This window comes from Homo sapiens, chromosome 15 (genome assembly GCF_000001405.40).
Source record: "Homo sapiens chromosome 15, GRCh38.p14 Primary Assembly".
In the NCBI taxonomy this organism is placed as follows: domain Eukaryota; kingdom Metazoa; phylum Chordata; class Mammalia; order Primates; family Hominidae; genus Homo; species Homo sapiens.
This window is the reverse complement of record NC_000015.10, coordinates 76,683,265-76,707,240: the sequence shown is the minus strand read 5'-3', so window position 1 is coordinate 76,707,240 and position 23,976 is coordinate 76,683,265. Positions and strand designations below refer to the sequence as shown.

Below are 23,976 nucleotides of genomic sequence, written 5' to 3'. Positions count from 1 at the left end.
TGTCTCAAGTCTTTTTTGTTCTCCTTTACCTTTTGTTCTTATTAAACCACCACTTTTTGTTGTATTATTTTCATTGTTTTTTAAAAAATTATTTTAGTTACTTTAATAGTTGCTTTTTGGATTATAGTATTCATCGACTTACTATATTCTACTTCAGGATAAAACTAAATTAATTTTGTTAAAATGGAACAACTTTGTACCAAAGTTCTATGTCCTCTTCCCCTTGTGTTACTGTTTTCACATATCTTACATATATATGTCATAAATGAAACAATAGTCTTATAATTATTTCTTTATACAGTTGTATATGTTTAAGAGAACTAGGCGAATAAAAGAGAAAATATATTTATACATTTCTTTGTGTGTGTGTGTATGTGTGTATCAACAGTTTGTTTCTTTTTATTTATTTATTTATTTTAATTTATTGTACTTTAAATTCTGGGATACATGAGGGGAGTGGTATGTAAAGCTGGCTATGCATGCTGTGTGAGTTAAAAAGTAGAAAGATGCTACTTGTCTCACCATTTCTGTATGTAGATTTTCACTTAAACTTCCTGTTTTCAGTATATTATCTCACCTCCAATTTGCCTTCTGTCCTGAATGCAGGTCTTTTTGTTCAGACCCTCTAGGGAGTAATCTCTTCACCTTCTGCCGGCATGGGAAGATTTGGAGATCTGCTGTATTTTAAGGCCTTCCCAGTCTGCTGATTTTTATCCTCAACCTTTATCTCTTCCTTCATAAGTTTATAGTTTCTTCAATTTCTGAGCTTCTATGGAATTTTGCTAGTAGAATCACCTTGCTTATTAGTTTCCTTCTGAAAGCTTAGATTTCAGCTTTCTCAGGATTGCTTCTCAGCTTTTGAAATATTGATGTCCATTTTTTGTGATTATTTCCTCTTCTACTTTGTCTTTTTGAGTTTATGCCTTTTCTATTCCTTTTAATGGTTTAATTGAGTTTTTGGAAGGGAATAGAGATAAATATAGTTTTCAACATGCCATATTTAAATGACAGTCTTTGAGCTAATATTTAAAGCCATGCCTGGGTCCAGAAACCCATTTCATAACTGATAATCTCTATTGTTTCCCAAATATTTAATTAGCAATATACCTGAGACTTAGTAGGCACTTTAAGAAGAATATTTTAAAAAAGTAGCCCTTTAGACTATATGACCCTATGTGTCCTAATTGTATTTTTGAGTCTCATGAGATTTGTTACTTTAAGCAGTTGAGTTTATAATTTTTACTGTCTTCTTACAGAGACAGGGAAGAACGATTGGCAGCACTCACAGCTGCTCAACAAGAAGCTATGGAAGAGTTACAGAAAAAAATTCAGCTCAAGGTAAGGATATTATATATTTTTAATTTGAAATTTTAGAGCTTACAGTGGAGCATGAGATCAAAATTTTGTAGGAAAAAAATTGAATTAATTTGTATTCTTAATCTTTGCACAACAAAGCTTATATGATTTTGCTACAATCATTTCTAACTTAGTACCTGGAAACTAAGTTTACTTTGATATGGTAGGGCCATTGAGGAAAAAAAATTTAAGGAAGTTTAACATTTCCTGTTTTTTTTCTTTTTAATTTAGAATCTTTAATATTTTTTCTTACACAGTTCAGTCATGTTAAGTGTATTTACATTGTTTTTTTTTAACCATCCTAAAAGCCATCTTCTTGTGTCCTTTTTTTTTTTAATTATACTTTAAGTTTTAGGGTACATGTGCACAATGTGCAGGTTAGTTACATATATATACATGTGCCATGCTGGTGTGCTGCACCCATTAATTTGTCATTTAGCATTAGGTATATCTCCTAATGATATCCCTCTCCCCTCCCCCCACCCCAAAACAGTCCCCAGAGTGTGATGTTCCCCTTCCTGTGTCCATGTGTTCTCATTGTTCAATTCCCATCTATGAGTGAGAACATGCGGTGTTTGGTTTTTTGTCCTTGCAATAGTTTACTGAGAATGATGATTTCCAATTTCACCCATGTCCCTACAAAGGACATGAACTCATCATTTTTTTTATGGCTGCATAGCATTCCATGGTATATATGTGCCACATTTTCTTAATCCAGTCTATCAATGTTGGACATTTGGGTTGGTTCCAAGTCTTTGCTATTGTGAATAGTGCCGCAATAAACATATGTGTGCATGTGTCTTTATAGCGGCATGATTTATAGTCCTTTGGGTATATACTCAGTAATGGGATGGCTGGGTCAAATGGTATTTCTAGTTCTAGATCCCTGAGGAATCGCCACACTGACTTCCACAATGGTCAAACTAGTTTACAGTCCCACCAACAGTGTAAAAGTGTTCCTGTTTCTCCACATCCTCTCCAGCACCTGTTGTTTCCTGACTTTTTAATGATCGCCATTCTAACTGGTGTGAGATGGTATCTCATTGTGGTTTTGATTTGCATTTCTCTGATGGAGAGTGATGATGAGCATTTTTTCATGTGTCTTTTGGCTGCATAAATGTCTTCTTTTGAGAAGGGTCTGTTCATATCCTTCGCCCACTCTTTGATGGGGTTGTTTGATTTTTTCTTGTAAATTTGTTTGAGTTCATTGTAGATTCTGGATATTAGCCCTTTGTCAGATGAGCAGGTTGCGAAACTATCTGATCTTTGACAAACCTGAGAAAAACAAGCAATGGGGAAAGGATTTCCCTATTTAATAAATGGTGCTGGGAAAACTGGCTAGACATATGTAGAAAGCTGAAACTGGATCCCTTCCTTACACCTTATACAAAAATTAATGCAAGATGGATTAAAGACTTAAACATTAGACCTAAAACGGTAAAAACCCTAGAAGAAAACCTAGGCATTACCATTCAGGACATAGGCATGGGCAAGGACTTCATGTCTAAAACACCAAAAGCAATGGCCACAAAAGCCAAAATTGACATATGGGATCTAATTAAACTAAAGAGCTTCTGCACAGCAAAAGAAACTACCATCAGAGTGAACAGGCAACCTACAAAATGGGAGAAAATTCTCGCAACCTACTCATCTAACATTTCCTGTTTTTACTAAGCAATTTACTAATGACTTGAAGGCATTAGAGGTAGGCTTCTTATATTCATAGGTTTTAATCACTCAAAAGTAAAGTAAAAGATGTTTCTTATAATTTGCTTCACTTGATTTCAGTGCTTATGAATTGTATAATTATAGCTTGGGAGATTATGATAAACTGATACTTTCTAGAAAATTTTTAGCATTACTACAACCATAGGCAGTCTCTAACAGTATGAATGTTTCATATTATATCACAGTTATTTACATGCTGGCTCCTCACAGAGATAGTAAAACCCCTAAGGTAGAAGACTGTATTTTACTATTTGTATAGTCCTAGAAATCTATCATGCGTTTAAATTTATTGTAGCAGGTATTTATTGAGCCTTGTGGTAGGCAGGGGAATGCAGAGATAAGGCATGGTTCTGATTTTTAAGAAACTCTTCATTTACTTTAAATTCAGATGCTAAGTACATAACCTCCACATAAAGAGAGGCATACATGAAATGCTGTGGAAGCACAGAAGAGGACACTTAGTCTAATATGAGGAGTGTCAGAGGTCAGGAAGTGATTTTAAAGAACACTTCCTGAGCTGGATCTTGAAAGGAGGATGAGTAAAATGGATAGGTAGGTGCGATGCCATTCTAGCCATATCAAATAGATGAGTATAAGGACAAAGGTCTGAAATAGCGTTTTTTCCCCCAGGATTGTCACTGGAGGTATAAAAATGGAGTAGGTTATAGGTTTGGTCATGATGGGCCTTGCCTGCTGTATGGATAAGCATATGCTTTACCCGTAGGTTAACATTTCCCATGGTGGGTTCCAGGAAGTGGTTCTCAAAAATGTGTTATTGGCAAATAATTTGTAAGTTGATGCCTACTAAAAGCTAGGTGCATTGAGTCATATATCACAGTGACGTACTGGAGGTTCTGTAAAGTTCTACATTAAAAACCTGTTTAGTTTTAGCTTGCTGTTTTCCAAATTTATTTGACCATGGAACCTGTTCTGTAAAACACTTGTTAATATCTCCTGGAGCACACTTTAATAAACATTACTGTTCATGTGGGTGATATTAAAGGGCTTTGTGTAAAGCTTTGTCTTCAGTGTGTAAGTTGTCATAGAAACGACATTCTATTATTTTTGAAGTTTTAATGGAAATATTATTTTTCCAATTTCTCACCATAATTTGAATAATTTTTGAAATTCTTGCACTTTGACTTCATCTACAGCATGATGAAAGTATTCGAAGGCACATGGAACAGATTGAACAAAGAAAAGAAAAAGCTGCTGAGCTAAGCAGTGGGCGACATGCAAATACTGATTATGCCCCCAAACTGACCCCTTATGAAAGAAAGAAGCAGTGTTCTCTCTGCAATGTCCTGGTAGGTTGTTATATCAATATTGTAATGATATAGTTTACTACTAAAGTTTATGAAACCATGGAAATATATTCTTGCAGTCTTTTAAAACTCACGCTAAGGCAGGCGAGATGTGGCAGCTCACACCTGTAATTTCAGCACTTTAGGAGACTGAGGTGGGCGGATCACTTCAGGCCAAGAGTGCAAAACCAGCCTTTCCAACATGGTGAAACCCTGTCTCTACTAAAAATACAAAAAATTAGCTGGGCATGGTGGTGCATGTCTGTAATCCCAGGTACTCGGGAGGCTGAGGCATGAGAATCCTTTGAACCCAGGAGGTGGAGGTTGCAGTGAGCCAAGATCATGCCACTGCACTCCATCCTGGGTGACAAAGCAAGACTCTGTTTCAAAAAATAAAACTCATGCTAAGGCATCTGCTGAGTGACCTGGATTTCTTTCATGATTCTGAATGAAAAGTGGTACAAATAACATCAGCATTTTGGAATAGCAGTAAAAGTGCTCAAGAATATAGTTACTATTAAAATGGATGATTACCTGCTTAATGTGATAGCCCAAGTCAGTATTTTTGGGGTATTAGATCTAAAAAAAAAGCAACATTTTCACTGCTGAGACTTGAACCTTCAAACTTAGAGGAAATAATTTCCTCTTAGGCTGGCTGTAACATGTCTTTTTTTTGTTTTGTTTTGTTTTGAGATGGAGTATCGCTTTGTCACCCAAGCTGGAGTGCAGTGGCACGATCTCAGCTCACTGCAACCTCCGCCTCCCAGGTTCCGGCGATATTCCTGCCTCAGCCTCCCAAGTCTTTTTTTTTAACCATTTGCCTTCTAGAGGATTCTCAGAATTATGTTCTGAGGAAACTATTTTTAAGACTAATATGTAAATACTAGGTGGATCTCAACTCACATATCATATACTGGACTGAATGTGTAGTGTTTAAAATTCATATAATGTTATATTGATTACATTGCTTTGATTTTGTGCTTTCAGATCTCTTCAGAGGTATATCTTTTTAGCCATGTTAAAGGGAGAAAACACCAGCAAGCCGTGAGAGAGAATACCAGCATCCAGGGGCGTGAACTGTCAGATGAAGAAGTGGTAAACTTTATTTTTGTTCATTTACAATTGTTTATTGAGTACCCAATATGTGCTGTTTTATTATAAAGAATTCCGTGTTTGTATTTATTTCTATGATTATTTAAAACTATATTTAGCACTTAATAGCTACTACAATATAGTGTACAAATGTGTCATTATTTTAGTGTATATATTAATTTAACAAGAAAGATAGAAAAAAGAATTTAATGCTGTTATTTACATAATTTCAGTATAAGGAAATGTTATGGTATATTGATATTTTAATAATGCAGGAAAATAATCACTCAATGACATGCCACATTCTTGGAAAACAGTTAACCACATAAATTTCACTTAAGAGGATAATTTTGGATCAGTATACCATTTAGAAGCTTTTGGAAATTCATTATTTCTTCACACATAATTATTGTCAACATGGAATTTAGATTTGTATAAATATGTATATGAATATTTTTCATTTAACTCTTTTTGAAACTTGGATGATATAGCTAATCTATGAATTTATTGTCCTATTTATTATAGTAAATTTTTAAAACTACTCAAGAATAAGAAATTCATATTTGTTAAGCAACTCAAGCTGTCCAGGAAAAGTTATTGTGGGTTCTTTGAGGGCAGGTACCTTTATGTAGGTGCATGTGTATATTGAACTTTTTTTTTTTTTTAGGTATGGCATTCATTAGTCAAGAGCATAAATCTCAAGTATATAGCTGATGAATTTTTACATATGTATAAACTGATATAAAACCACCCAGATCATAATATAGATCATTTGTTGTACCCTTTGGGCTCCTCTTATGCCCCCTCCTACTTATGTCCCCAAAAGTTAACTACTGTGAATTTTTGTATCATTATTTAGTGTTGCCTGTTCTTAAATTTCATACAAATGTTATCATACAGTATGTATTCTTTTCTGCCTGACTTCATACATTCATGCTTAAGCTTGTGAAAGTGATCCCTATTGTTTATGTGAAGCTGTAGTTATTCTTCTTAGCTTTATGTCAGTGCCCTCCTGTGTAGCATCAGGAACATGTCTGTAGTTGAATAGTATTTTATTTAATGACTTGTTAAAAGAAGGGGAAACAGGAAGAGCCAAGATGGCTGACTAGATGCAGCCAGGAAGAGCATCTCCCACTGAGAGACCAGACCATCAAGAAGGCTGGCACACTCTGAGCAGATCTTCCTAAGGAAGGCATTGAGAGTAGAGGAAGGGAAGGCACACCCTGGGCTGAAGCTGCAAGAGAAAGCAGGGAATGTTGCCTGGCTTTGTAGAGCACCAGGACTCTCTCCTGAGGAAGAGGTGGCTAACTAAGCAAGGAGTGGTCCACTCTCACCACGGACCTCTGGAATCCTAGCTGCAGGAGACCCCATGACCCCCACGGACATTTGAGCTGTCAGGGAGAATTGCTTGGAGAGGTGGCAGGGACTGGAGTCCAGCTTGTGAAGAGTCCAGAGGGTTTGACACAGGAACAGCTGCTGTGGAGGGCAGCCAGAGATGCTCAACCCTCAAGTCTCACTGTGTTCCTCTAGGTGGCTTTGGCCATTATTGTCCGTCAGACCTGCACACAGCAGGGCTGTCTTGACAGTGGGACAGGGCCAGTGTAATCCGAGCACTCTGGTCTGATGGCATCTCTCAGGGTCCTTGCCTGGCCATGCCTTCTTGCAGTGCGGACTTGGATGCCCAAACGAGGTGCTTCCAGGTGGCTGCCACCGTAGCTCCTACCCCAGGAGACCCTGCCTGACCATCGGAGAGCTTCTGTGGATGGGCCCCTGCTGGCGTGCAACTACCCACAGCCTCTCCCCACCACTTTCTGGCAGCTGCATGGACTTTGCCACCATGCTGCTACTGGCACCGGTGCAGGTATGGACTCCGTTGCCATTGCCCTGCCATCACCAGTGTGCGAATACTGTTCACACTCTGCCAGCTGCAACTGCGTGCATGTGGAACCTGTGACTGCTAGCCTGTGCACTTGAACCTGATACCACCATGTTGATGAAGTGATTTTGCCAGCGCCCGCCATTGAAGTGTTGTTGCCAGCGGACCAGGAACACCTTAGCCACTCCAGCGCAGCAAGTGCTTAACTTTGAGGTGCCTAAGAGCAAAGCCATGGGCCTGGTCTCAGTCCCCCAGGGCATGCAGTCCAGCGCTGCTGAAATCATCCAGAAGCAGAGCCAGTTCACTGAACGTGCAGTGTATACTGCAGTCAAACCCTCAAGGGCATCAAAGAATATAAAAACAAAAAGCCTCATCCAAAGGACAGCAATTTCGAAGATGAAAGGAACATCCTTTCATGTTAAAAACCCTCAACAAACTAAGAATTGAAGGAACATAGCTCAAAATAAGAAGAGCCATCTATGACAACCCCACAGCCAACATCATAGTGGAGGGGCAAAAGCTAGAAGCATTCCCCTTGAGAACTGGAACGAGACAAGGATTCCCACTCTCGCCACTCCTATTCAACATAGTACTGGAAGGCCTAGCCAGAGCAGTCAGGCAAGAGAAAGAATCAGAGGCATCCAAATAGCATGAAAAAAGTGAAACCATCTCCCTTTGCAGATTATATAATTCTATACCTGGAAAACCTAAAAGGGTCTGCTCCAGAGCTCCTAGATCTGATAAACAACTTCAGTGAAGTTTCAGGACACAAAATGAATGTAGAAAAATCAGTAGCGTTTCTACACAGCAACAACATCAAAGCTGAGACCCAAATCAAGAACTCAGTCTCATTCAAAATAGCTACAAAAAGAATAAAAAATCTGGGAATCCAGCTAAACAGGAAGGTGAAAGATGTCTACAGATGAGAATTACAAAACACTACTCAAAGATACCAGAGATAACACAAACAAATGCAAAAATGTTCCATGCTCATGGATAGGAAGAGTCAGTATTGTTAACATGGGCATATGGCCCAAAGCAATTTGCAGATTCAATGCTATTCCTATCAAACTACCAATGACATTCTTCACAGAATTAGAAAAAACTATTCTAAAATTCATATGGAACCAAAAATATAGCCCAGTCTGAGCTCACTTTTTTTGTGATTTTTTAACTTGGAAGAATTTTGCTCCTCAAGTTTTAACCACTTTGATGGCTCTAAACTTCAAATTCTGTCTCCTCAGCTCACTAAGACTGGTACTGTCTGCTTGCACTGTTCTCCCATGCCAAAAATTGGCATAAACCCTGAAGGAAGTATCCAGAATGAATGTACAGCTAATTTTATGTGCTTGCATTTTTTTAGGCATCATAGTCATTCAAGTCCTGTCTATGTTGGCTTTTGTTCCCTTCAAATAGTTGCTTTGGGTATTTTGTACAACTTTTGGCATTAGATTAGTCCAGTACAAGCCAGTTCACGGTAGCTATAATTAAAAGTCTCCAGTGTTTGAGCCTTGCATATTCATGTTTGATATAATGCTTGACATATAGTTAAGGTTATTTATAAATGTCCATTGAGTTGAATCAAAATGAAAAGTTTATACAGAGTGGCTCGAAGGTATCATGGGAGTAGAACTCTCAATTTCACCTTCGTAAATTCTAAGTGCTTTTAATACAAATGAAATGGAACATGGAACTAATAATCTAGTTTGCCTCAAATAATTTTCTGCCTTTTACTCAAATCGTATGAGTAGTTTAAGAGAGAATAGTATGGAGTTCTTTATTACTTAAATCTTTCATGATTACCCCCATTTTCTACTTGAATTTTCTGTTAAGAACTATAGTCATGTTTTGTGTACTCTACTTTTAAAAAAATCCTTAATTGCCTCAATTACTTGTAATAATTCCCATTGTAAAGGATATTCTTTCCTTTATAAAAATTATTTGTGGCCAGGCGCGGTGGCTCACGCCTGTAATCCCAGCATTTTGGGAGGCTGAGGTGGGTGGATCACCTGAGGTCGGGAGTTCGAGACCAGCCTGGCCGACATGGTGAAACCCTGTCTCTACTAAATATACAAAAATTAGCTGGGCATGGTGACGCGCGCCTGTAATTCCAGCTACTTCAGAGGCTGAGGCAGGAGAATTGCTTGAACACAGAAGCCGGAGGTTGCAGTGAGCTGAGATTGTGCCATTGCACTCTAGCCTGGGCGACAAGAGTGAGACTCGATCTCAAAAAAAATTATTTGTAATTAATTTCCATTAATAAAACAGCTAAAAATATTATTTAATTTACAAAAAAAACTTAACAATTTTTCTGGAATATGGTATTATGTAAACTGAAATATAAATTTCGCATGTTTTTATTTCAGTGAGAAAAGGTTAGAAGGAAATAATAGGATTCACGCACTTCGGAAGAAAAATGTGCAATATTATCTAATTTTTGTAGCCATAGCAGTCTTATGTTTAGCCATTATGGTTTGAGATTTGATTGGTGTGTTCATTTTGTGTACTGTTTCAGTTTGAAGGAATTAAATTTTCTTAAAGTTCTAACTTAATTCATGTTGTTATTCTTGGTTATAGCCTCTTCTTCCTGAAAACAAGTGTATAATATAGCATATGAATTATGTGATATAAAAAGGTTATTTTCTACTACTCTCATGGAAGTTTCATTTTTTTAATCAGTAGAGGGTATCTATAGTAAACATACTTGTTCTACTTAAAGTTATTACTTGTCATCTATGATGTCTTTATATTATATACACCTTGTCTGTGACCTTTCTTCTTTGACATGTAAGATTTTATTTATATTACCTCTGACCTAATAAAATTGTACCTTTGACCTTATGAACTTAACATCTCAGATAACTTACTCTTGATCTTTGACACATTTTGTTTTAAGCCTGTTAAACATAGTAGGTAGCTGCTGAGTAAGAAGGCTTTATTGTTTTGTGTTTTTATTGTAATTTGACTGGGACATTTTTCTACTGTTTCTTGAGACTTAACAAAATGGACTGTGTTTGAAGTTTATGTTTGATTTGTTTCCTCATTCATCTTAGAATTCAAATGATTAAAAAAGTGATTTTTAAAAGTCAAAAATGGGTAGTAGTTTTAAATACATTCTAAAATTTAACTTTTTACATGCATTGCTAAATAAATCAATGAAGTATTATTTTTAGTACTTGATATCTTTGTGGTCCTGTTTTCACACTATCTAAAGAAGCTGATAGTATCTTTTCTAGAAGTTGCTTGAAGTAGCAAGCATGTAGCAAGCATGTAGAATGAATTTAAAAGGTTTTTTTTCCATTTTAAATCAATATATTTCTATGTTTGTGAGATTCATTAGCTTTAAAAGCATGTACATTGTACAAGCTCTGTTTGTTACCTTGTATACTTATAGAAAAAAAAATAGTTAATTTTCATTTGACTCCTGAAAGGTATGAATGGGACCTTCATGAAGGATCTTAAATTAACTGTAATTTATTGGATGTTTACAACCATATGTGACTTTACAAATTACATTATTAGTTTCCATGGACAATATATGCCAATTAGGTGATTGAAGAGAAAATAAATTTTAAACTAGGAAAATAAAGAAATTTTAAATTAGCAAAAATATAAAGACATCACTGTATTTAATGAAATGTAAGCTGACTGTCTTGGCCAGGGTGCGCCTGGCATTGAGATCAAAAGAAGAAGTGGCAAGATGTTTGCCAGAATTATGGTAGTCTGGGAAATAAAAGATAATTCCATATAGACCCATTTATTTCCTTACCTTGCTTGCCTTTGTAGAAGAAGTATTCACTGTCATTTTATAATCACATTATGAAACATCTTATTTGCCTTTCAACAGGAAATCAAGTCAAATGAACAAACTAGAAGTAATTTAAAATAAATCTTCTGGTTTTTTTCCCATCTAATACCTCAGTAGGGTTGGTAAGTTTAAGACAATTTGAGAAATGATTTTAAAACATATTACACTTTCTTTTAAGGCATAGCTTCCATTGACTTGATTTTCTCCTTAATAGTATGGGAAGAATTTTATGGGGTGTGTGTGTGTGTGTAAATGTATGTGTATTCAGTATATAATGCACACACATATATAGCTTATTATTAATTTATATATTCTAAGTTTTCACACTGTAACTTGGATGTGCAGAGAATATGTGGCTCTATATCTGTGGCTGATTTATTGATCTTCATTTAGTTCAAGGAAAATTTTTAGATTCCACTTATTAGGTCAAGGAAAAATATTTAATTAAACAGTTTTTTTTCTTTTTTCTTTTTTTTTTTTGAGACGGAGTCTTGCTCCGTCATCCAGGCTGGAGTGCATTGGCTTGATCTCGGCTCACTGCAACCTCTGCCTCCTGGGTTCAAGCAATTCTTCTGTCTCAGCCTCCCAAGTAGCTGGGACTACAGGCGCCTACCACCTCACCCTGCTAATTTTTGTATTTTTTGGTAGAGATGGCGTTTTACCATGTCAGCCAGGCTGGTCTCGAACTCTTGATCTCAGGTGATCTACCTGCCTTGGCCTCCCAAAATGCTGGGATTACAGGTATGAGCCACTGTGCCTGGCCACAAATAATTTTTATAAAGGAAAGAATACAAGCTTGCTTTTTAGAGTTTTAGAATTAACTCAAAACAGAAGAAGTAAGAATTAAGTTGACTCTTAACAGATTTTTAGCTATGTTAGTCAAGGTATAAAATTCGGAGTGCAAAGTGACCTTAGAGTTACACTAGTAGCTAATTTAGTAACTTGGCATTTTAAGCTGAATGAAATTAAGACTTTGTTTTACCCTGTTACTTTCTAATTTGCAGTTTTAATTTGATCAATTTATAGGTTTTTATAAATATCTTAAAGAAGGTCCTTTCTCTAATTTTATAAGATCTTAAAAATAATAAATCGTTATTAATTTGTGTTGAACTTTTTCTCCATCTTATGATTGGTTTTTTCCTTTACAGCAAAAAGTATTTTTTGGGCAAAATTGCAAAATTGCTTTTTTCAATTTATTCATGTGATATGTTACATTAATAGCTTGTCTATATTAATATTTAACAATTTGGTCATGATTTTAAAAGTACATAGTTAAATTTGTTGTTAAAATATCTTATGATTTTTCTTTCTTAAGATTGTATCATCTTCATATATAAACTGACTAGATTTTCCTGTTGTATTTTTATTCCTGGGAACATGTTGCATAAAATAGAAATTGTCTCTTCCTTAAAGGTTTTGTTTAATGTGTCTATAAAATTGTATGGAAAGTTCCTGGTATGTGTTTTTTGGGAAAATTTGTTTTCTGTCTTTTTTTGTGGTAAAATACACATAACTTAAAATGTGCCATCTTAACTATTTTTCCAACTTTATTGAGGTATAGTTTACAGAAATTGTGTATATTCAATTGTACACATTCAATGTACACAACATAATGATTTGTATATTAATGCATACTCTATGTAGTGATTACCACAATTAGTTATGTTTCTATACACTAACAATGAACTTTCTGAAAAAGAAATTAATAAAATTATCTCATTCATAATCACATCAAAAAGTAGAATATTTTGGAATAAATTCACCCAAGGAGGTAAAAAGTCTTTTCACTGAAAACTGTAAGATACTGATGAAAGAAACTGAAGAAGATACAAATAAATGAAGATATCCTGTGTTCATGGATTGGAAGAATTAATATTGTTAAAGTGTCCATACTCTCCAAAGCAATCTATAGATTCAATGTAATCCCCATCAAAATTTCAATGACATTTTTAATAGAAATAGAAAAAACCTCCTAAAATTTGTATGGAATCACAAAAAAAAAAACCTGAGTAGCCACAGCAATCCTGAGAAAAAACAAAGCTGGAGGCATTACACTTCCTGATTTCAAAGTAAAATACAAAGCGATAGTTACCGTCTTAACCCTTTTTAAGTATATATTATAGTTTAGTGGCATTAAGTTCATTCACATTCTTATGCTACCATCACCACTGTTAATCCACAGAACTCTTTTTATCTTGAACATCTGAAACTCTGTGCCTATTAAACATTAACTTTCCATTCCCTCCTCCCTCCAGACCCTGGTGATCACTATTCTAATTTCTGTCTCTATGAACCCCATATAAGTGGAATCATACAGTATTTGTCATGTTTGTGACTGGCTTATTTCACTTAGTGTAATGTTCTCAAGATTCATTCGTGTTGTATATATCAGAATTTCTTTTTTTAAAGGGCTGAATAATATTCCATTATATTTAATCATATTCAATTGTGTATACTATATTTTGTATAGCCATTCATCTGTTGGTAGACACATGGGCCTCTTTCACCTTTTGGTTATTGCAGATAATGATGCTATGAACATGGGTTATACAAATATTTGTTTGAGTCCTTGCTTTCAGTTTTCTTAGTATATACCCAGAAGTGGATTTCTGGATCATATGATGATTCTGTGTTTAATTTTTTGAGGAATGCCCTACAATTTTCCACAGCTAATGAGGTGTTTACATTCCTACCAGCAATGTACAAGGATTCCAATTTCTCCACATCCTTGCCAACACTTGTTATTTTCAATTTTTTAATAGCAGCCATCCAAATAGGTTGGTCTTACTTTAAATTAGCAATTCATTTCTTTCAGTGTATTTAAATTTTCTATGATTTACTGTGTGTGTTTGGGTAAATTTTCATTTTCTAGGAAAGGATCTAGTTTTTTCCCTAAATTTCTAAATGTCTTGGCAGAAGTTTTTTGGGGTATTCTAGATATTTTATGCAATCTCAGTTTTACCTGTAACTGTAATGCTGTTAATAACATAGCCTTAAAATAAATGTAGCAAAAATTGACAGAGCAACAAGAAGAGATAAATCTATCATACTGGGAAATTTGTAACCCTCTCAATCGGTAATTGAAAGAAGCAGCAGACAAAAATCAGCATAGATACAGAATATTGCAATATTCTATTTTTTCTTGATCATTTCATTTTTTTCATGATTATCCTTGTCAAAAGTTTTTATTTCCTAAAATTTGAATTTTGGTTTTATTGATCTTGTCTATTGTCGCTTTATTTTTTATTTTGTTAATGTCCATTATTTGACTTTTTTTTTCCTTTTTACCTCTTTCTTGGAATTTTGATGTTATTTTTCTTCCTTTCATTTCCTGTCCTTTCCTTTCCTTTCCTTTTCCTTTTCCTTTTTTTTTTTTTTTTCTTTTTTTGAAACAGAATCTTGCTCTGTCACCCAGGCTGGAGTGCAGTGGTATGATCTTGGCTCACTGCAACCTCTGCCTCCTGGGTTCAAGTGATTCTCATGCCTTAACCTCCCAAGTAGCTGGGATTACAGACATGCACCTCCATATTCAGCTAAGTTTTGTATTTTTAATAGAGATGAGGTTTCACCACTTTGGCCGGGCTGGTCTCAAAATCCTGGCCTCATGTGATCCACCAGCCTCAGCCTCCCAAAGTACTGGGATTACAGGCAAGAGCCACCACGCCCAGCCTTCATGTTATTTTTCTAACTCCTAAGGTGAATACGTGGCTCATTAACTTTCAGTACTTAATGGAAGTACTTAAAATATTAATTTCTGATTTTTCTGTATCCTGTTTGATACAAACGATTTCCATTATTACTCACTTCCACTCATTTTCTAATTTCTTTGGTATAATTAATATGCTTGATCAAATGGATAACTCGAAAAAACACATTCTCTTAAGGTATAAGGAACATTTACAAAACCTGACCATTGCAGTATTCTGTATCTATGCTGATTTTTGTCTGCTGCTTTTTATTTTGAGGCTATGTTATTAACTGCATACAAGTTTAGAATTGTGTATCTTCTCAATTTCCAGCCTTTTACTATGGAAAGTGACTCTTTTTAGTATAAGAAATGCAGTAGGTGAATAGTTTTTTCTTTTTTCTGCTGTCACTTTCTGGTTTTAAAATCAAGCTCATAATCCATTCATAAAACAAATTGGGACATTTTATCTAACTTCAAAAAGTTTTCTTAAAGTCTGTTTTGTTTGACAGTAATATAGATAAGCTGGGTTTCATTTATTTAGTATCTGTTTGATACGTCTTTTACACTTTTAAGAGTTTTGGTGATATCATGTGTACAGAAGAGTGTCTAGGATGTATGTAAACTATTCATAGAATAACAATAGAACAAATTTCTTTGTACCCATCATTTGGGTTAGTGAGAATCTCCTGGTGGGGAAATCTGATTTTTGCTTATCTAAAATTGTGCTTTTGTTTGTAAATGGGGTTTTCACTGGGGGTAGAATTATAGCTTGACAATTTTATATTCCAAGAATTTATTGATTAGATATTATTCTCTATCGTCTTGCTTCCATTCCTAATACAGTAAGTTCATTCCTCTTTATTCTTTTTCAAAATTGCCATATTTCTCTATTTTTCAATTTGTGTATCGCCTTTGCAGTTAAGTTGTTCAGTTCAAAAATAACCGTTTGAATTTTGATTGAGATTGTTTTAAAATTGTAGATTAAATTATCCTTAAGAGCAGACATTATTTAAATATTGATTTTTTTCCTTCCAGGGACTTGAATGTTTGTCTAGTCATGTCTTGCATTTGTGTGTATGTGTCATTGAGTAAAGTTTACGGTTTTCTTCAATTAAGTATTGAAAATTTCTTTAATAATTTAATTTTAATAATTTTTTTCCAATTATATCAAAGTAAATCTGTACATTTCTGTGTATTGATTTTGTGTCTGTCCACTGAGCATTTTTATTCTATTGGATTTTTTTGGCTGATTTACTAATTATTTGGTCCAAAAATAGTGACAGTTTGTAAGGTATTTTCTAATATTTTTACTTTTTTAATACGTGCTTTTGTTTTTATTGCATTGACTAGGACCTCATTGCAATGTTGAAAAGGAGTAGTGAAAACAAGATCAAGAGCCCTCTTTTTTCCCTTGCTTTTGATTCCAGTGGAAATACCTCTTCAAAGATATAATATTTTGGGTTCACTGTGTTCATATTTCACTTAGAAGTTTTTTATTCATATCCTTTTTTCCTATATGAACTTCGTCTATAGTTTTACTTTTTCTAGTCTCATTTTCTGGACTTAATATGAAGTTCATAATAGACATAAGTAAATAAGGGCTCTTTCCAGCCTTATCTGTGTTCTGGAGCAGTTTCTCTAACATAGTCTTTTTCTTAAAGATTTGGTAGACTTACTTATAAACTATCTAGACCTGATGTTCTTTTCTTTTCTAGTGAACTTTATTTTAGAATAATTTTAGGTTTACAAAAAAGCTGTAAAGATAGTAGAATTTCTATATACCCTTTGCACAGTTTCCCCTGTTATTTATATCTTATATTACCATGGTACATGAGTTAAATTTGTTAAAATTAATAAACAGTGGTACATTAATATAACTAAACACCAGACTTTATTTGGATTTCATTAGTATTTCCAATACTGTTCTTTTTCTATTTCAGGATTTTATCTAGGACTATACATTTCATTTAGTCACTATGTCCCCTTGGTACTCTCTGGTTTGTGACAGTTTCTCAATCTTTTCTTGTTTTTCATGGCCCTATCGGTTTTGAGGAGTGCTGGGTGAGGCATTTTGCAGAATGTCTCTCATTTGGGTTCGCCTGATGACTTGAAGTATATTTATAGATTTTTTTTTCTCATGATTACCCTGGGGTTATATATATTTGGTGGGAATACCATAGAGTTTAAATGTCCTTTATGCCACATCATATCAGAGATACATACAATTATAACTTATTTCTTGCCACAGTAGTGTTTGCAATGTTTCTTCACTGTGAAGTGACTATTTTTTTTTTCCATATCTTGGAAGGAGGTTTCAAGGGGTTGGGATACCTGTGGGAGGGATTAGGTTTCAGCTTCCAGAGGAGGACTATCTATATAAAATTTTTGGAATTCTTCTGGTAAGGAAGGTTTGCCCATATTTATTTATTCATTTTTTATATCAGATGGACTTTTTTTTTTTTTACTTTGAGTTATATTCTAGTACTACATTATCTTATTGCTAATACTGTTCCAGCTTTGGTGATTAGGAGCTCTTTCAGTTAGTTTTTGTGTCTTTTTGATGTTGCCCTGTTTAGTTTTTTTTGGACACCTCTTTACTGGCATTTTATAATCTTGTAAGCAGCAGCCTTCTCTGGTATTCTTCCTTTTCTAGCCCTAGAATCAGCCACTTCTCCAAGGAGCTCTGTTTTTTTTTTTGTTTTCAAGGATAACATTTAGAAAACAAGACCTAGATATAAGGAGTGCTCATTATTAACTGAGGTGTTGCTACTTCTAGGCCCTCAGGTTTAGAAGCCATTTTTAGGGGGAGGCTTTTCTCTACCATATCAGTTTCTTCTATATTCATTGTCTCTTAAGATTTTCCAGGTGTTCTTGAGTCAATAATTGATATTTTTTTAGAAAATTACTGTCTTAGATTAGATTTTCTAATTTATTTTAATAAAATATACACATAGTAAGTAGCCTCTTTAAAATCATTAAAATCTGTTTTCTGTTTTCTGATTTCAGTATTTTACACTTTGTTTTTGCCTTAATCAAACTTGCTAATGGTTTTTAAAATTTTTCTTCTTTTTACCTTTTTTCAGTCTCTTTCTCTCTCCTTCCCTCTACCCCGTCTCAGTTGAATGATTAATTTGTTTTTATTTGTTCTTGTTTTAAGACATGTTATTTAATGCCACATATTTCCTTTAATTGAGGACAGTTTGATTTTCATTTTTTTTCCTTTTTAAGAAAGAGGCATTTGGGCTGGGTGCGGTGGCTCATGCCTGTAATCCCAGCACTTTGAAAGGCTGAGGCGGGCGGATCACTAGGTCAGGAGATCGAGACCATCCTGGCTAACATGGTGAAACCCTGTCTCTACTAAAAATACAAAAAATTAGCTGGCCGTGGTGACGAGCACCTGTAGTCCCAGCTACTCTGGAGGCTGAGGCAGGAGAATGGCGTGAACCCAGGAGGTGGAGATTGCAGTGAGCCGAGATCGTGCCAGGGCACTCCAGCCTGGACGACAGAGCAAGACTCTGTCTCAAAAAAAAAAAAAAAAAAAAAAAGAGAGGCATTTAAGGCTACAGTAACCAAAACAGCATGGTACTGGTACCAAAACAGATATATAGACCAATGGAACAGAACAGAGGCCTCAGAAATAACACCACACAACCATCCGATCTTAGACAAACCTGACAAAAACAAGCAATGGGGAGAGGATTCCCTAGTTAATAAATGGTGTTGGGAAAACTGGCTAGCCATATGCAGAAAATTGAAAGTGCACCCTTTCCTTACACCTTACGCAAAAATTAACTCAAGATGAATTAAAGACTTAAAAATAAGAAAACCATAAAAATTGTAGAAGAAAACCTAGGCAATACCATTTAGGACATAGGCATGGGCAAAGAATTCATGACTAAAACACCAAAAGCAATGGCAACAAAAGCCAAGATTGACAAATGGGATCTAATTAAACCAAAGAGCTTCTGCACAGCAAAAGAAACTACCATCAGAGTAAACAGGCAACCTACAGAATGGGAGAAAATTTTTGCAATCTATCCATATGACAAAGGGCTAATATCCAGAATCTACAAATAACTTAAACACGTTTACAGGAAGAAAACAACCCCATCAAAAAGTGGGCGGAGGATATGAACAGACACTTCTCAAAAGAAGACATTTATGCAGCCAACAAACATATGATGAAAAGCTCATCATCACTGGTCATTAGAGAAATGCAAATCAAAACCACAGTGAGATCCCATCTCACGCCAGTTAGAATGGTGATTATTAAAGTCAGGAAACAACAGATGTTGGAGAGGATGTGGAGAAATAGGAGTGCTTTTACGCTGTTGGTGGGAGTGTAAATTAGTTCAACCATTGCAGAAGACAGTGTGGCGATTCCTCAAGGGTCTAGAACTAGGAATACTATTTGACCCAACCATCCCATTACTGGGTATATACCCAAAGGATTATAAAACATTGTACTATAAAGACACATGTACATGTATGTTTATTGCAGCACTGTTCACAATAGCAAATACTTGGAACCAACCCAAGTGCTCATCAGTGATAGACTGGATAAAGAAAAGGTGGCATATGCACACCATGGAATATTATGCAGCCATAAAAAAGGATGAGTTCATGTCCTTTGCAGGGACATGGATGAAGCTGGAAACCATCATTCTCAGCAAACCAACACAAGAACAGAAAACCAAACACCGCATGTTCTCACTCATAAGTGGGAGCTGAACAACGAGAACACCTGGACACAAGAAGGGGAACATCACGCACCGGGGCCTGTTGGGGATGGGGTGCTAGGGGAGGGATAGTATTAGGAGAAATACCTAATGTAGATCATGGGTTGATGGGGGCAGCAAGCCACCATGGCGTGTGTATACCTGTGTAACAAACCTGCATGTTCTGCATATGTACCCCAAACTTAAAGTATAATAATTTTAAAAAAGAGTATATGTTGCCAATATGAGGACTATTCTTTGATTTTTAATTTTTACTTTTATCGGATAATGGTAAGAGAATATGGCTTATATAAGTTCCACTTTGAGGAGTTTATTAATTTTTCTTTGTAGTTTAATATATTGTAACATTTTAAGAGTAATCTCTTTTCTCTCTGGGTATATATAACATATATTAGATCAAATGTCTTAATTATCATGTAAATCTTACTTTTTTATCCGATTGGTTTTTGTTCATTTAAATCCTTTACTCAAAATGGAAAGAATGCCAATATGCTATTATTGTTATTTCTTCACATCTCCTTGTATTTTTAAAATCAATATTTGCTATTTATGTATTCCAAAGATTTATCATCACAGTCATAACTTTTTATATCTCTTTTACTGGTGAAGTTTACCTTTTAAGAATATGAAGCATTCCTCTTTCCTATTTAATGCCTTTCTCCTTGAATATTATTTTTGTCTGGTATTAATATGCAAACCTAGTTTTGGTTAATGTTGCTTGATAGATCCTCTTCCCTCTTGTCCCATTCATAATTTATATTTTGATTTTTTTGAATGTAGGTCTATTCCTAAAATGTATACTTTTATTTTGGTTGTTTATTGCTTTACAAAAAGAATACCTTGCTGTATGTAATCTTTAGGGACTTGTGCTTTTTCCTTCAGTATTATAATGCTTATATTCATCCAATTACTATGAAGAGCTTTAGTTTGTTGGTTTTGGTTGCTGTACTGTTTTGTGATTATACACGATTTATTTACTATCCTTTTGATTGGTGTTTATGTTGTTTTTAAGTTTCTGATTTGTAAGTAGTGTTGGTGTTAACATTCCTATACATACCACTTGTACATGTATAAGAGTTTTCCTTGGGTATATACCTAAGGGTGGAATGCTGAGTAGTATGGTATATAAATGTTCAATTTTAGAGATGATCCTATACTGTTTTTCTAATTGGTTGCACCAATTTGCACTCTTACCAGTGACGTATAAGAGTTATAGATTTACATTCTCCACAACTCTTGGCATTATATGGGTTTTTAACATTTGCCAATCAAGTAGGTGTAAAGTGATATTTCATTATAGGCTTGATTTTTATTTGCATGATCATTAATGACATAAAACATTTCTTCATGTTTTAGGTAAGTATTTTCTGTTCTGTAGAATGTCTGTGGCTGTTCTGCCCCTTTTCTGTTGAGTTCTATTGGGTTGTTTACTTTTCCTTTTTATTTTTAGGCTTTTTTCACAAATTGTTACTAGTTTTTTATTAGTTATGTATATTGGAAATATCTATAACAGTTTTTAACTTAGATTTTCATATTCTTATATCTATTAGGAAAAATATTAATTTCAACAATCAAATTTATCAATATTGTCCTTTATAGATAGTACTTTTTGTGTTCTACTTCAAAAATCTTCTCTATCTTACGTTATAAAAGTGGTTCACCTGCATTTTCCATTAAGTGTTTTGAAGTTTTGTTTTTGACATTTAAATCTTCAATCCACTTAGAATTATTTTTTACAGCTCCTTTTATTGGACTCTTCTTTCACCATCTCATGTCACCTCTGTTTTATGCTACATTTCATGCATGCATGAACTGTTTCTGGATTCCCTATCCTCGTTTGTCTGCTCCATTATCATGTTATCTTACTTAAGAAACTTGTTGTCCTACACAGGAGAACAAGATCTTTTTTGTGGCTTCTTGTCCTTTTACTCATCCTTATACATTTTAGAATTAAATTGTCAAGTTCTATCAAAAACTGTTGAGAATTGTTTTAAATCAGATCATTTGGGAAATAATTCACATCTTCCTGATATTCTTCTTATTTGTGAATGCCATATTATTACATTTCAATTAGGCCTTTAAGAATATTCGTTACTAAATTAGGTTTTATAATTCCCCCTGGCGGTATTTTTTACCTGTTAGTTTGTTGCTCTATAGAAATGCAAGTGATTTTGCATATCAAGCTCATATTTAGCCCTCTTGTTAAACTCTTATTTCCAGTAACTTGTCTGTAGATTGAGGTTTCTATGTAAATAATCACACTACAAATAATAAGGTTGTATTGTGTATTTGCATTGTTTATAACTCAAATTTACTTTTTTTTTTTTAAATCACATTGGCTCATATCCATAGTACAATGGTGAACACATGTAGCGGTGGCATTCTGTCTCATACCTGATTTTAAAGAGTATGATTCTAAAGTTTTCTCACTTAAAACGATGTTTGCTTTAGGTGTGTAATAACTAGTCTTTTCAGTTAAGGAAGCTTCTTTTTCTAATTTCTAAATATTGGCTTATGGATTTGTTGTTTAATCTTTTAGTATAGTGACATATTTATTTCCTAATATTAAACTGTTTTTGCTAAGCTGGAATAACCCTAATTCATTACTGGTATATTATCTTTTTTATGTATTCTTTGCTAATATTCTGTTCACTACTATAGCATATAAATTTATGAGTTGATAGAGTTTTATAATTTTTCCTTTTTTGCGTCATCTTTGGTTATCAGGATTATTCTCATACAATAAGTTAGGAACTCTTTTTTTTCTATTTTCTGGAAGATTTGTACAATACCAGGATTGTCTTTTCTTTGAAATTTTGAAAGAAATTCCTTGAAAATTCATCTGGTCCTGGTCCTTTCTTGGTTGGAAGATTCTTAAACAACCTTTAGTATTATTAATAATTACTAATGTATTTAAATATTTCCCTTTTAGTCTCTTCTGCAAAGTTAAGAGTTTTCTAGAAATTTATTTTTATACTGTTTTAAACATATTTTCATGTAGTTATTGATAGCATTCTTGTATCTTTTAAGTCTCTACCTCATTTGTAGTTATAGCCCTTTCTTAGTCATAATACTGTTTGAGTATCCTTTTATTTTTAGTCTTCCCTAAGGTTTTTTTTATTTTTAATATCTTAAAATTTATTTAATTTTTAAATTTTCAATTACTATGGGTATGTAATAGTTGAATATAATTGTGGTGTACATGTGATGTTTTGATACAGGCATACAATGTGTAATGACCAAATCAGAGTAATTGGGGTATCCATCACCTCCAGCAGTAGATTTTTCTCTATCCCTTTACATTGAGCATATGGGTGTCATTGCATGTGAGATGGGTGTCTTGAAGATAGCATGTAATTGGGTCTTGCTTTTTTATCCAGCTTGCCACTCTGTGCCTTTTAATTGGGACATTTATACCATTCAGAGTTAATATTCGTATGTGTAGATTTGATCCTGTCATCATGGTGTTAGTTGGTTATTATGCAGACTTGATTGCCTGGCTGCTTTATAGTGTCGGTGGTCTATATAGTTAAGTGTGTTTTTGTGGAGGCTGGTAGCCATCTTTCCTATTCATATTTATCACTCCCTTAAGGACCTCTTATAAGGCAGGTCTGTGGTAATGAATTCCCTTAGCATTTGTTTGTCTGAAAAGGGTCTTATTTTTCCTTTGCTTTTGAAGCTTAGTTGGGCTGCATGTGAAATTCTTTTTAATTTTTAGAAACGTGGTCTTGCTCCATTACAAGGCTGAACTCCAACTCTTGGCCTCAGTCAGTCCTCCTGCCTCAGCCTCCCGAGTTGCTAGGATTATAGGTGTGAGCCACCCCGCCCAACTCTGCAATATGAAATTCTTGGTTGGAATTTCTTTTTCTTTAAGAATGCTGAATGTAGACCCCCCCACCCCCTACAGTGTCTTCTGTCTTGTAAGGTTTCTGCTAAACAGTTTGCTGTTAGCTTGATAGGGGTTCCTTTTGTAAGTGATCTGTGCCTTCTTTCTAGCTACCTTTAACATTTTTTTTTCTTTCATTTCGACCTTGGGAAACCTGATGACTCTGTGTTTTGGGGATGGCCATCTTGTATAGTATTGTGCAGGGTTCTCTGTGTTTTCTGAAGTTGAATTATGGCCTTTCTAGCATGGTCAGGGAAATTTTCATGGATGATAACCCTCAGATATATTTTCCATATTTGCATGCTTTTTCTCCTTGTCTTTCAGGGATGCCATGGCATCATTGATTTGGTCTTGTTACATAATCCCATATTTCTCAGAGGTTTTGGTCATTTTTCTTTATTCTTTTTTCTTTATTTTGTTTGACTGAGTTAATTCGGAGAACCAGTCTTTGTGACCTGAGATTCTTTCCTCAGCTTGGTCAATTCTGCTGTTAATATTT

At 34.7% G+C, this 23,976-nt stretch overlaps 1 protein-coding gene across 30 annotated transcripts in view, besides 2 other annotated features; it reads left to right on the top strand.

Moving 5' to 3' along the window:
* Window positions 1-23,976, top strand: part of SCAPER (S-phase cyclin A associated protein in the ER) — a 557,437-nt gene that overhangs the window by 198,100 nt on the left and 335,361 nt on the right. For 26 of the 30 annotated variants that reach the window (NR_148227.2, XR_007064448.1, XM_017022273.2 and 23 more), the window contains 3 exons: window positions 1,257-1,338; window positions 4,239-4,391; window positions 5,376-5,483. Coding sequence is in view for 28 of the 30 variants with exons in the window: in XM_017022273.2 (XP_016877762.1) it covers window positions 1,257-1,338; window positions 4,239-4,391; window positions 5,376-5,483 (343 nt within the window). In the remaining 2 variants the exon portion in view is untranslated. Of the gene's footprint in view, window positions 1-1,256; window positions 1,339-4,238; window positions 4,392-5,375; window positions 5,484-6,147; window positions 10,198-23,976 lie in introns of those variants that run through there. The other 4 variants (XM_047432632.1, XM_047432631.1, XM_024449944.2 and 1 more) reach the window with 1 other exon arrangement.
* Window positions 6,909-7,409: an enhancer, noted in NCBI's record as "H3K4me1 hESC enhancer chr15:76992173-76992673 (GRCh37/hg19 assembly coordinates)". NCBI's record gives its function as "activates a minimal SCP1, AML or CMV promoter by ChIP-STARR-seq in primed H9 embryonic stem cells {active_cell/tissue: H9 hESC(primed)}" and the evidence as "EXISTENCE:reporter gene assay evidence [ECO:0000049][PMID:30033119]".
* Window positions 7,410-7,910: an enhancer, noted in NCBI's record as "H3K4me1 hESC enhancer chr15:76991672-76992172 (GRCh37/hg19 assembly coordinates)". NCBI's record gives its function as "activates a minimal SCP1, AML or CMV promoter by ChIP-STARR-seq in primed H9 embryonic stem cells {active_cell/tissue: H9 hESC(primed)}" and the evidence as "EXISTENCE:reporter gene assay evidence [ECO:0000049][PMID:30033119]".